The 13758-nt window shown below is 50.6% G+C and overlaps 2 annotated features.

The window, feature by feature from the left end:
* Window positions 295-484: an enhancer, noted in NCBI's record as "active region_7366". NCBI's record gives its function as "activates an Ori minimal core promoter by ATAC-STARR-seq in GM12878 lymphoblastoid cells {active_cell/tissue: GM12878}" and the evidence as "EXISTENCE:reporter gene assay evidence [ECO:0000049][PMID:35858748]".
* Window positions 3768-4308: an enhancer, noted in NCBI's record as "H3K4me1 hESC enhancer chr12:132088366-132088906 (GRCh37/hg19 assembly coordinates)". NCBI's record gives its function as "activates a minimal SCP1, AML or CMV promoter by ChIP-STARR-seq in naive H9 embryonic stem cells {active_cell/tissue: H9 hESC(naive)}" and the evidence as "EXISTENCE:reporter gene assay evidence [ECO:0000049][PMID:30033119]".

The raw sequence follows: 13758 nt of genomic DNA, 5'->3' as shown, positions 1-13758 counted from the left end.
GGAAGATGCCTCTGTAAGGTCTGAACAGCCTTCCTGAAGGCATCCCTGGTGCAGTGTGACCACGGATGACCGCACCCGACCAGCCACTGCATGCAAAGTGAGATCTTATGGCTGTCATACTGAGCATGCACTGAAACCGGTGACCCAACACCATTGGGTCCCTTCCCTGAGGCACCTGTACTCCGTGTGAATACACAAGACACACAAAGGTTGAATTAGTAATCTCATACTGGTGTTGGTATGTTTATAGTTCATAAAATACCTCCGCATCCTTCATGTTTGCTCACAAGTCTGTTTAATATTAAATGAAATCACAGATTCTCAGAACTGGAAGGAACTTCAGAGGACAGCTAATCTGATTTCAACTGACTCAAGACAGGCTTAAAAATAGAAAATGAAACAGAAATTCAAAACAATGAAGACACAGGCAGTACAGGAATAGCTGTCAGTGGATTGTACAAACACTCACTTCTCTTCCTCCTAACTCCCACAGAATCCCCCAGGTAATGTCGGATCCAAAATCTACCTCTATGATTCCACTGAGATTAGGTTGAGATGAGTTAATGCCAGAGTTAAACCGGAATAGAATACCAACTGGCAAGTTTGAGAGGGTGACTGGGAAGAATCTGAGAGGGGAAACAGATGGACGTGGCCCTCCATATCCATAGGCCCCATGTCCTTGGACCTCAGATCAAAAATATTAAAAAATAACCTGGGGCCGGGCATGGTGGCTCACGCCTGTAATTCCAGTACTTTGGGAGGCCGAGGTGGGCAGATCACTTGAGGTCAGCAGTTCAAGACCAGCCTGGCCAACATGGTGAGACCTCATCTCTACTAAAAATCCAAAAATTAGCTGGACGTGGTCTTGGGCCTCTGTAATTCCAGCTACTCGGGAGGCTGAGGCAGGAGAACCTGGGAGGTGGAGGTTGCAGTGAGCCAAGATCGCACCACTGCACTCCAGCCTGGGCAACAGAGTGAGACTCTGTCTCAAAAAACAAAAAACAAACAAAACCCAATAAAAATAACAATACAACAATCAAAAGTAAATAAAAAAGCAGTGATAACAACTATTGGCACGGTATTTGTGTTATCTTGAGTATTATAAGGAATGCAGAGACAATTTAATGTATACAGGAGGATGTGCCTAGGTTATATGCAAATAACACACCATTTTATATAAGGGACTTGAGCATCTTCAGATTTTGGTATCCATGGGAGCCTCAGAACCAACCTCCCGAGGATACTGAGAGACGACTATTGTCTGAAAAAGTTGGTGAATTTGTGCAGTTGGTAAATGGGGCACAAGAACAGTTTCACAACAGTATTCTAGGGTTGCACAACGATGTCAGACGTTTCTCTGTCTGGGCATGAAACCGCCTCTGCAAAAATTAGAACTGAGGAAATTATGGCGGTGAAACAGATCTGACCTAACCGACTCCATCTTGCTTCTCACCTCCAAGCTGTCCTTGTTCATTCCTGGGCGTAGGCTGAGCTTACTTTGGAAGGAACTTAGTTTAACTTTGAAACAAAGATGATAACAGCTCTTTCCCAAAACAAAACCCCTCCTTGCCTAGGGACTTGACTTACGAATTAGAAGATTAGAAATTACGGTACAGAGTCACTGTCGTAAAACCTGAGATCAGGGCTTCAGATATTTTGCAGACCTTGCATTCTGATGCACCAGCTGACTCCACCCAGAAAAATAAACTGGCTCATTTGGTCTTGTGGCCCCTACCCAGGAACTGACTCAGTGCAAGATGACAGCTTTGACTTTCTATGATTTCATCTCTGACCCTACCAGTCAGCAGTCCCCACTTGCCAACCCTCTACCCACCAAATTATCCTTAAAAACCCCAATCTATGAATTTTTGGGGAGGTCGATTTGAGTAATAACTCCATCTCCCACATGGCGTGGCCGGCCTCATGGCAATTAAACTCTTTCTTGACTGCAGTGCCGTGGTCTTTATTTGTGCAGTGGGCAGGAACAACCCGTTGGACAATCACAGGCACTGTTAGTGGACCCAGATTTTCAGTTATGCGTCTGAATTAGACCTTGGCCCAGATTGGAAAGAAATGTGAGTACAGTTCCAAAATTACACTCTCTAGCAGAAAAGACCTCCCACACCTGTTGAGATGCTTCTGTCCTGAAACCTGGGGGAATGTCCTTAAGGAAAAGGTTGGAAAATATTAGATATGGGAAAGCTCCAGGAGAATAATGAAAAACAAAACAAAACCAAAACCCTGGGGATTTTGATGATTTTTTGTTGCTGCTGTTTTGCGCTTGTTTTTGAACCTTAAAAAAGTCTTGCTGGGAAAAGAAGGGGATGAAAAGAAGTTGCTTGGGGTTGAGGTTTTTAAACATTATTGTCGATGGTGCAGGGGCTTTCTTGTTTCTGAGGTTTGCTCTTCTGAAAATAACAAAGTAGAACTCAGCTTGGGCTCTGTGGGGTCAGGAGGGAATCACCCTCTCCAGGGTTAAAGGTGAGGGAAGTGTCAGAGGCATTTGAACCAGAATGACTCCATCTTGAACAGGGGCTGAGTAAGATCAGGCTGAGACCTACTGGGCTGCATTCCCAGCAGGTTAGGCATTCTAAGTCACAGGATGAGACAGAAGGTCGGCACAAGACACAGGTCACAAACCCAGCTGATGAAACCGATTGCAGTAAAGATGCCGGCCAAATCCCTCCAAAACCAAGATGGCAATGAGTGACCTCTGGGGTCATCCTTACTGCTCATCAGCGCCATGACGGTTTACAAATGCCATAAATAATCATGAGTCTTCTGGGAAAGGGGTGGGCAGTTTCCAGAACCGAGGGCTTCTCCTGGCTTCTAGACCATAATCCACCCTTGTTTAGCATATAGTCAGGAAAAAACTATCATTCGTGGAGCAGCCCCACTACCACTCTGCCTGTGGAGGAGCCATTCTTTTATTCCTTCACTTTATTAATAAACTTCCTTTCACCTGATGGATTCACCTTGAATTCTTTCTTGCATGAGATCCAATAACCCTCTTGGGGTCTGGATCAGGACCCCTTTCCAGTAACAGAAGGGCTGTGAGTGACAGGTCCCGGTTCCCGGTGGGGTGGCTGTGAGTGACAGGTCCCGGTTCCCGGTGGGTCAGCAAATGGTTCTCAGTGCCCACCGACAGCAATGTTTTCTCTTGAGCCTTCTAGACATTTTGATATGCAGAGAAAACCCCTCTCTCACTTTTATTTTGGATGAACTAGGATTAAACACTACAATTTTTTAAAAATCAAAGAAAATTCTGAAGGTGGGGTTTATTCCTTCTTCTCTCAGACTTTTAAATTTTTTTGTTCTTTGTGTTAAGACTCTCCCAAGTGCAGGGAGCAGAGGTCCTCAAAATTCTGATCCCAGAGGCAGCTCTGGATTTCCGCGAGGCTCTGTCGGAGCTGAGTTGATGTTTAGATCTAAGCTGCTTCCTCCACCAGAAGCAATTAATCTGCAGTTCGGGCTGACGGCGATGCACAGCCCTGTTTGCGGTTTCCGTTGCTTGCCATCCACCGACACCTACTCTGCAGCTCGTGTTTAAAATTTAATTTTTCTTCCCTGGCAACAGGATATTTGGCTGAGACAGAATGTCATAGTGAATGGTGTAGTAGGAATTCTTAAACGCAGCTGAGGTTCTCTGAATCTCACTGGGATTTGTTTTTCTTTCCTTCTGAAAAGTTGCACAGTGAGCTGTGTTGGGCCCCCGCAGAGCTGGCCAGTGCTGAGTGGAGAGGCACGGTGGGACGGCGGGAGGGCACAGGGCTTTGTGACGGGCTCAGCAGTGTAAGAGCTCCAGGCAGGCGGGGGTGTGGGTTGGAGACCCCGGGCTTTAGTCCTGTCTGCAGGCTTCCCTGGCCGTCAGGAGGGTGGGCTCGGGGAACTGGAGCATGGGAGCAGGGTCTTTCCTGCAGCAGGAAGAGGCTGTAACCACTTGCTTGTTTGCCTGACTGAAAGTGAGACCCTGCGTTTAATGAGCCTGAGCTCCCAGATCTTCCCTGGAGTGCTGTGGAGGAAAGAATCCAGGCTAGGAAGCATGGCCCCAAAATTTCTGCTTCCTGGTATACATGCCCTGTGAAATCCCCTTCTGTTGAGTGTGGGAGGACTTATGAATAGGATGAAATTTCACTCTTGTGATTAGGTTATGGTTTTTTTGGCAAAGAAGAAATTTTTCAGATGTAATTATAGTTGCTAATCAGTTAATTTTGAGTTGATCAAAATAGAGATTATCCTGTGTGTTCTTGGTTTAATCAGATGAGCTCCTTGGAAGTGGTCCAACTCACTCCTGGAACTGAGCCTCCAGGCTGTGGGCAAATTCAGGCCCTTGAAGAGGCCACAAGTAGGTGTCTCAGCTAACAGGCCCAATGATGGCTGTTATAAAAGGAAAATAAAGGTCTAGACCTTCCCTGAGTCGGAGATTCACAGCCACAGTCTCTCCCCATTGCTGGGTATGAAGAAGGAAGCTGCTGTGAGCTCTACAGCTGCAAGGAAGTGAATTCTGCCAACATCCTGGGAGGCTTGTATATGGGTCTTACAGCTGAGCCTTCAGATGAGAACAAGGCCAGACAGCACCTTGGTTTCAGCCTTGTGAGACATGAACAGAGGACAGGGTTGGCTGGGCCAGGACTCAGACCTGACTGAAAATGTGTTGTTTTATGCTGCTAAGTTTGTGATGACTTGGACACAACAGAGACCCTTAACATAGGCCCCAAGGCTGTGTAGAAACACAGGAGTACCTGACCTGGGCCCCAGGGCCGTGTAGGAACACTGGAGTACCTGACCCAGGCCCCGAGGCTGTGTGGAAACACTGGAGTACCTGACCTGGGCCCCAGGGCCGTGTAGGAACACTGGAGTACCTGACCCAGGCCCTGAGGCTGTGTGGAAACACTGGAGTACCTGACCTGGGCCCCAAGACCGTGTGGAAATGCTGGAGTACCTGACTGATATGGTTTGGCTGCGTCCTCACCCACATCTCACCCTGAGTCGTAATAATTCCCACATGTCAAGGGCGGGGCCAGGTGGAGACAATTGAATCATGAGGGTGGTTTCTCCCATACTGTTCTCATTCTAGTGAATAAGTCTCGTGAGATCTCTTGGTTTTATAAAGGGCAGTTCCCCTACACAAGCTCTCTTGCCTGCCGCCATGTAAGATACGACTTTGCTCTTCCTTTGCCTTCCCCATGATCGTGAGGCCTCCCCAGCCACGTGGAACTGTGAGTCCATTAAACCTCTTTCCTTTATAAACTAGCCAGTCTCAGGTATGTCTTTATTAGCAGTGTGAGAACAGACTAATGCAGTAAATTGGTACCAGTAGAGTGGGGGTGCTGCTGTAAAGATTCCCAAAAATGTGGAGGTGACTTTGGAACTGGATGACAGGTGGAGGTTGGAACAATTTGGAGGGCTCAGAAGAGGACAGGAAGATGTGCAAAAGTTTGGAACTTCCTAGAGACTTGTTGAATGGCTTTGACCAAAATGCTGATAGTGATATGGACACTGAAGTCCAGGCTGAGGTGGTCTCAGAAGGAGATGAGGAATTTGTCGGGAACTGGAGTAAAGGTCACTCTTGCTGTGCTTTAACAAAGAGACTGGCGGCTTTTTGCCCCGCCCTAGAGATCTGTGGAACTTTGAAGTTGAGGGAGATGACTTAGGGTATCCAGGAAAAGAAAATTCTAAGCAGCGAAGCATTCGAGAGGAGGCAGAGCATAAAAGTTGGAAAATGTGAAGCCTGACGATGTGATAGAAAAGGAAACCTTATTTTCTGGAAAGAAATTGAAGCTGCAGAAATTTGCTTAAGTGAGAAGGAGTCGAATGTTAATCACCAAAACAACGGGAAAATGTTTCCAGGGCATGTCAGAGAATTTCACGGCAGCCCTGCGTATCACTGGTCCGGAGGCCTGGGAAGGAAAAATGATTTTGTGGGTGGGGCTCAGGGCCCCCCTGCTGTGCGCAGCCTCAGGACATGGTGCCCAGCATCCCAGCCACTCCAGCCATGGCTAAAACGGGCCAAGGTACAGCTCAGGCCATGGCTTGAGAGAGTGGAAGCCACAGGCCTTGGCAGCTTCCATGTGGTGTTGAGCCTGTGGGTGCATAGAAGTCAAGAACTGAGGTTTGGGAACCTCCGTCTAGATTTCAGAGGGTGTATGGGAATATCTGGATGTCTAGGCAGAATTTTGTGCAGGGGTGAGGCCTTCATGGAGAAACTCCGCTAGGGCAGTGTGGAAGGGCAATGTGGGCTTGGAGGCCCCACACAGAGTCCCCACTGGGCACTGCCTAGTGGAGCTGTGAGAAGAGGGCCACTGTCCTCCAGACCCCAGAGTGGTAGATCCACTGACACCTCGCACTGTGAGCCAGACACTCAATGCCAGCCCGTGGAAGCAGCCAGGAGGGGGGCTGCTGTACTCTGCAAAGCCACAGGGGCGGAGCTGCCCAAGGCCGTGGGAACCCCACCTCTTGCATCAGCGTGACCTGGATGTTAGACATGGAGTCAAAGGAGATCATGTTGGAGCTTTAAGACTTGACTTGCATGGGGCTTGTAGCCCCTTTGTTTTGGCCCATTTCTTCCATTTGGAATGGCTGTATTTACCCAATGCCTGTACCCCATTGTACCTAGGAAGTAACTAATTTGCTTTTGATTTTACAGGCTCATAGGTGGAAGGGACTTGTCTTGTCTCAGATGAGACTCTGGACTGTGGACTTTTGAGTTAATGCTGAAATGAGTTAAGACTTTGGGGGACTGTTGGGAAGGCATGATTTGTTTTGAAATGTAAGGACATGAGATTTGGGAGGGGCTGGGGCTGACTGATATGGTTTGGCTTGTCCCCACCCAAATCTCACCTTGAATTGTAATAATCCCCATGTGTCAAGGGCGGGGCCAGGTGGAGATCATTGAATCATGGCCGCAGTTTCTCCCGTGCTGTTCTCATGGTAGTGAATAAGTCTCATGAGATCTGATGGCTTTATAAAGGGCAGTTCCCCTGCACACACTGTCTTCCCTGCCACCATGTAAGACACGACTTTGCTCTTCCTTGCCTTCTGCCATGATTGTGAGGCCTCCCCAGCCATGTGGAACTGGGAGTCCATTAAACCTCTTTCCTTTACGAATTACCCAGTCTTGGGTATGTCTTTATTAGCAGCATGAAAACCGACTAATACACTGACCTAGGCCCCGAGGCCCTGTGGAAACTCTGGAGTACCTGACCTAGGCTACGCTGCAGTACTTTTATGACACATGAATGACCCCATCTCCCACGACCACCACAAGCCCTGGGGGTGCCCGTGGGGTCCTCCCTTCATTGCAGCCCTGCCACACCCCTGACGATGCCCACGGTGTGTTTTCTGTGGGGCAGCTGTGAGAATGGGGGTGCTGCCGTTGACAGGGCCCTGACTTAAGGGCAAGGAAGGGGTGGGGGAGCAGCACTGTGGCAGCACCAACCCCACAGGCAGGACGGATGCGGTGGGCATCAGGGGGCTACACATCACCCAACGGTGTTGTCTCCCACCCCTACTGGCACGTGGACCTCCCCGGACAGACACCTCATCTGCTCTGCTCGCCGCTACCTTCCTGGCACACAGCAGGAGCTCAAAATGCAACATTGAATGAGTGAATAATTGTAACCCAAACGGGAGCAAACACGCAACAGCTTCACATGTATCTATTTTCCTTGATCAGAAGTACTTCATAACGACCCGCTTACTTCAAGTAAGCTTAGTGGGATGAAGTGTGACTCATCTGAAATGATATAATTTACTACATTTAGCATCAACTGCAATTACGGATATTGCTCTGAGCCTTGGAGCCTGAAGTCTGCAGGTGGGGTAACCGGGAGGCTCCTGCTTCTGATAATTAGGAAAATGGGCATTTTATTTCCTGCTGACAATGCCTAGTGCATGGATCCAGGGAAAGACTGAATCTGGCTCCAGTCTGCCTTTGGATCTCAGGCCAAAGGAAGGGTGAAGGTGAGGACAGGAGATGCCCTGCGAGGATTCTCTCTGCTCATTCCGCAGTGACAAGAACGGCCAGGACCTCTCCACTTATTCCACAGTGAACACCGCGGCCGGAACCTCTGTGCGCATTCCGCAGTGAACAGCGCGGCGAGGACCTCTCTGCTCCAGGCGGCATTGCAGGGCTGGGCGCCTGCCCCTACGGAGCTTAGTGTCTCTCTGGGGTGAAAGACCCGTAATACAGCCCCTGCAGTACAATGTGATGGATGGCATGATGGACACGGGGTGGGGGGCGCCTGACCATCCTGGGGGTGGAGCCCAGTGCAGGCTCAAAGAGGTGACATCAGGGGAGGCCTCAGGGACACAGAGGAGTCAGCCCTACAGAGGGAAGGAGGGAAGGACACTCTGAGCAGGGCAACAGCAGAGGCGCTTTCGGAGAGAGCAGGGCATGTGTTGAGTAGACACCAGGGGCTCTGAGGCGGAGAGGGCGGTGACCCAGTGTGCACACCAGAAGGGCCCTTGGGATGCCGTGTGTGTGTATGTGTGTGCACAGGTGTGTGTGTGCATGCGTGTGTGTGTGCACACAGAGGTGGGCAATGCTACAGGCAAGGAGATGTGTCAGAACCTTACTGCTCCATGGGCGTCTCTGGACCAGTGCCACTGCCACACCAGGGTTGTTAGAAATGCAGGACCCAGAAGTGCCAGATCAGAACCCAGCTCGAGCTCCCTGTGATTCATGGCACACGGATGTTGCAAAAACACAGGGTGGAGGCTGCGGCAGTGACCTAGATTAGAGGCGGTGCTGGCTTACACCAGGGGTTGCTCCAGGGATGCAGAGAAGGCAAGTGACAGAGTGAGAAATGCGGGCAGGGGGCCTGCAGGGCTCGGTGTCAGAAGGAGAGAAGAGTTTCCTTTTATTGCGCACAGGAGTTGATGAATTCGCTCCTGGAAATGTTGGATCTGACATGCCTGCGGGGAAGCCCTTCAGACAGGACTGGAACTACTCTGTAGGGAGATGAAGCGATCTGGGTGGGAGACTTTAAAGGCTGATGGGAAAGATGCAGGGAGGGGTGGCTGAGATTCAGTAGGAAGGGCCCCATCCCAGGAGGGGAGTGGAGGGCTGGGGCACAGGTGCCTGAGGAGGACTGGTGGCCCCAGATGCAGATGTGGTGACGGGCAGGGAGGAGGTGAGGAGGGTGGAGCTGAGGTGAGGAGGGCGGAGTTGAGGTGAGGAGGGCAGAGTTGAGGTGAGGAGGGCGGAGCTGAGGTGAGGAGGGCGGAGTTGAGGTGAGGAGGGCGGAGCTGAGGTGAGGAGGGTGGAGCTCTGCCTGCTGGGCTCCCTTCTCTCCTTGGAATGGGGGCCAGGTCACCTGCAGGGCTGAGGTCAGAGGCTGGGGTAGGAGGCCTGAAGCTGTGGGGCAGCTGGGAGGTGATTGGGCTTTCAGTGTTCCAGGGAGGCTCTGGGGGAGGCCCTGCCATGCCTGGAACCAAGACAGGAGGCCGATGGGGTCTGAAAGGCGCCTCCAGCAGAAGCTGCCGGCTCTGAGGGGGCCTTCTCCAGCCCGTGCCGGGAGGTGGCATTGCTTAGAGGCTGTCCAACATACAGTTCATTGACTGGGTCTTGTTCGCTCTGTCCTCTGATCCTGAGGCCAGAGACAATCTGTCTCCCCGTCCCCAGAGCTAGTGGTGCCTTGTCTGTGTCGTTTAAGTGCTACCTGGTGTCAGAGATCCTGGGATGGAGCCATCTATCTGTGCTTGGAGCTGGCAGGCCAGACTCCATTTCCAGCACCTGGCAGGTTCCTAGAACATATTTTGGGGTGAACTCTGCTAAGCTCTTGCTGAATTTTTCACCCAGAAGTTGGGAGCATGGAAAACAGTTCTGCTCGGCAATGTTTTCTTACTGTATACTGGAGGGATCCTTGCTGGTCCTACTTCCAGAATCAAGGGCAATTCTACCTGGACCTATTTAGGACCCAGGTTCTCTTCAGACACCCAACATTACTACAGAAAGTTCCACATTCCTGAGCAAGATTCCCAATATAATTCCTGGGCGATTAGGGTGACTGGCAGAGAGGCCCATGGTGTGTGCCTTCCAAAGAGATTCCCTGTTCCTTCCGGCAGCGAGTCCATGATAAGGTCTGTACATAAAAGCTCACAAAACCTAGGGGTCCTTCATGGCAGAAGCTGCCGTGGAAGTCAGATGGACGTTCATTCCTCTGTTGGTGAGCACAGTGCTCTGGGTGGACAGAAGAGTAACAGCCAAGCTCGCTGATGGAGAATCCCCAGTGAGGCCGAGCTTGGCCTTGCCCTTCCTGGCCCCTCCACATAGGGTCATCGAACATACCTCACGCAGAGCAGGGGCTGGCTCAGAGACGGGCTAATTGCCCATGCCTCACGCAGAGCAGGGACTGGCTCAGAGATGGGTTTTACTGTCCTGCACGGCCTCAACCTGTGCATTGGCTTTTTGTGTCGTACATTTGAATTAGTGGTGAACACTCCCAACTAGAAAATCCCACATAAGAATCAGAATTTTTGAGCTTCTCTTGGGAACAGTACCGCTTGGTGTGCAGGGTTTACTCTCCCCTGATGACGGCAGCTGGGCTGAACCCTGGCTGCCCCCATGCCCCTCAAGTGCTCGTCAGCATCACTGTCACCATGGAAACCACATCCTCGTGTTCACTTCTGCCTCCTCCCTGCGTTCCAGGTTCTGGGCGTGGGAGCATAGATATGTTGGTTCCAGCTTGACTGGTCAGTACCTGTGCCCTGCCAGTTCTCAGATATTTTGATCATCACCTTTGCTTGTTGGTGTTTGAGTTTGTCCCTCTGTGTTAAAATAGCCAGGACTGTTTGAACTGCTTTTGAGACTGCGGGATGTGGGCAAAGGGCAATGTCTCTCCTGTGCACAAAGGATGGGGAAAAGTCTGGCCTGTAACGTGACCTACGTTAGGACTCCCCAAGATCAGCCATGACCCATCCTCTTCAGAAAGGGGAACGTGCTTAAAAGGCAGAAACACCAGTATCCGTGGGCTCATTCCCATAGCACTCAGAATGGTGATGTTTGTGATTTCCCAGGCTCCTACTGGACTCATGTACAGACCATGTGGACATCCAAGAAGGGTCTGCGAGTCTATGCCAATGGGACCCTGAGCACCTGTGACATGAGAAGGCAAGTGTCTCATGCCTATGGGGACCCTGATGTCAATCTTGTGATGGGATCTCAGCAGGACTGGACCCAGCATTATGATAACGGAGCTTTGGATGAGTTCAACATCCAGGGATGGCCCTACCTCTGGATGAGGTCACCATGTACTTCATAGCTGCTGCTGGTCAGTGAGGGGTGAAGGGCTGGGGCAGGTCTGGTGGCTACATTCCTGGGGGTACCCTAGTATCTGCACCCCTTTCCCAGCATTTCCCATCTCCCCACTCTCCTGTTACAGCCATCGGGACTGCAGGCAAGAGCTGTGTCCTAATGAACTTCATTAAACAGTCATTTTACTGGAACACCTGTTCCCTAATGGAGAAACCGACAACCTACCTGAGACACGCCGGGATGAATATTCTCCTGGGGATGGCGGGGTCTCAGGGTGTATGTGACGGATAATGATAGAAGGCTCTAGGTGGCAAACATTCTAGGTTTATTACCTCATTTCATCCACAAACGTTTACCTTGAGCCTCCTGAATTCCAGGCTCTCTGATGAGTCCTTGGAGAGCCCCAAGGATGCCTCTTCCTGTTCTGTACCAATGGCTGTTTCTAGCAGTGGCCTTGGGTAGGTGGCCCTGGGTTCAAATCCTTGTTCTGCCAGGAAGAGCGATGGGACTTGGGAAGTCAGTTGTCCTTTCTCCAGGTTTCAGTTCCCCCAACGGCAGTAAGGAGGCTGTCCGACCCCGCCGTGGGGTCTGTGAAAATACAATGGGATGTCACACACCAGGCCCCAGCAGGGCAGCCCAGGACTCAGTGCAGCTGTGGTTCTGTTAATTTGGCCTCTTTGCTTCAACAGTTGTTTTAGTTTCACCAGAAATAAATGCATATATTTTTTTAAAAACCCTGATACTGCTTATTAATTTCCACATGCACTAACCTGCCAAAAAGCCTGCTGTTCTGACATCCAGAACAACAGGGGAAGTTCAGGCAGGAGGTGGAAAGAGGCCCGGGTTCCAGACCTGGTTCGCCCTTGCTCAGGTTCTCACCTTGAGTCCCTCTCTTGACCCTGAGTCATGACTCTTGATTTCTAGTGACAGAAAACCCATCTGAAAAATGACTTAGGTAAAACAGGAGGAGGTTGCTTTTGGCATGGCTTCATCCGAGGGCTCAGATGACATCACCAGAGAATTCTCCTTCCTTCCTGTAAGCAGTATTATATTGAGGCGGGGAGGCAGTGATCTCCTCTGTGGAGCTGAGATGACTGCTAGGTGCTCCTGGCTTCCATCCTCACTTCTCAGCAGCCTCAGCAGGACGTAGAGAGCTTCTCCAGTCGCTGCGAAGAAGGGCTGGGCCTGAGCTTTACTGGCAAAAGTGGTGTGTTACCTGGTGTGATGCCTATGTGACATAGCTGAATTTCCACCCTGCCCTAACTCTGCTGATCTTTAAGAAACGGGACACCTTCGATAAAAATTTCCCTCTGTAACCAGACCAGCTGAGACTGGTTAGAACCAGGATAGCCAGCCAAACAGCTTCAAAAGACCTCAGGCTTCATTATCATCTCATTTCCACGCTCAATGATACACCCACCAGTCCCATGACAGTTGACGATCGCCATGGTAGTGACCAGAAGAAACCATAAAAGCACAAAAAGAAGGCGGCACTCTTGTTCTGGGAAGTTCCCTGCCCATTTTTGGAAAAGACTTGAATATTCCTCTTCTCGCTTTTTTTTTTTTTTTTTTTTGAGACGGAGTCTCTCTCTGTTGCCCAGGCTGGAGTACAGTGGCGCCATCTCTGCTCACTGCAAGCTCTGCCTACCGGGTTCACGCTATTCTCCTGCATCAGCCTCCCGTGTAGCTGGGACTACAGGTGCCTGCCGCCACGCCTGGCTGTTTTTTTTTATTTTTAGTAGAGATGGGGTTTCACCATGTTAGCCAGGATGGTCTTGATCTCCTGACCTCGTGATCTGCCCGCCGCAGCCTCCCAAAGTGCTGGGATTACAGGCGTGAGCCACCGCACCCGGCCCCTCGCAATTTTTTTTTTTTTTTTTGAGACGGAGTCTCACTCTGTCACCCAGGCTGGAGTGCAATTGCGTGGTCTTGGCTCACTGAAACCTCTGCCTCGCAGGTTCAAGTGGTTCTCCTGCCTTGGCCTCCTGAGTAGCTGGGACTATAGGCATGCGCCACCACACCTGGCTAATTTTTTTTGTATTTTTAGTAGAGATGGGGTTTCACTATGTTGGCCAGGCTGGTCACAAACTCCTGACCTTGTGATCCACCCACGTCGGCCTCCCAAAGTGCTGGGATTACAGGCGTGAGCCACCGCACCCGGCCCCTCGCAATTTTTTTTTTTTTTTTTGAGACGGAGTCTCACTCTGTCACCCAGGCTGGAGTGCAATTGCGTGGTCTTGGCTCACTGAAACCTCTGCCTCGCAGGTTCAAGTGGTTCTCCTGCCTTGGCCTCCTGAGTAGCTGGGACTATAGGCATGCGCCACCACACCTGGCTAATTTTTTTTGTATTTTTAGTAGAGATGGGGTTTCACTATGTTGGCCAGGCTGGTCACAAACTCCTGACCTTGTGATCCACCCACGTCGGCCTCCCAAAGTGCTGGGATTACAGGTGTGAGCCACCACGCCCGGCCCTCCTCTGGCTTTTAATGTCCAACCCCTTC

Source organism: Homo sapiens, chromosome 12, assembly GCF_000001405.40.
Source record: "Homo sapiens chromosome 12, GRCh38.p14 Primary Assembly".
NCBI classification, from domain to species: domain Eukaryota; kingdom Metazoa; phylum Chordata; class Mammalia; order Primates; family Hominidae; genus Homo; species Homo sapiens.
This window is presented reverse-complemented; position numbering and strand designations above follow the sequence as displayed.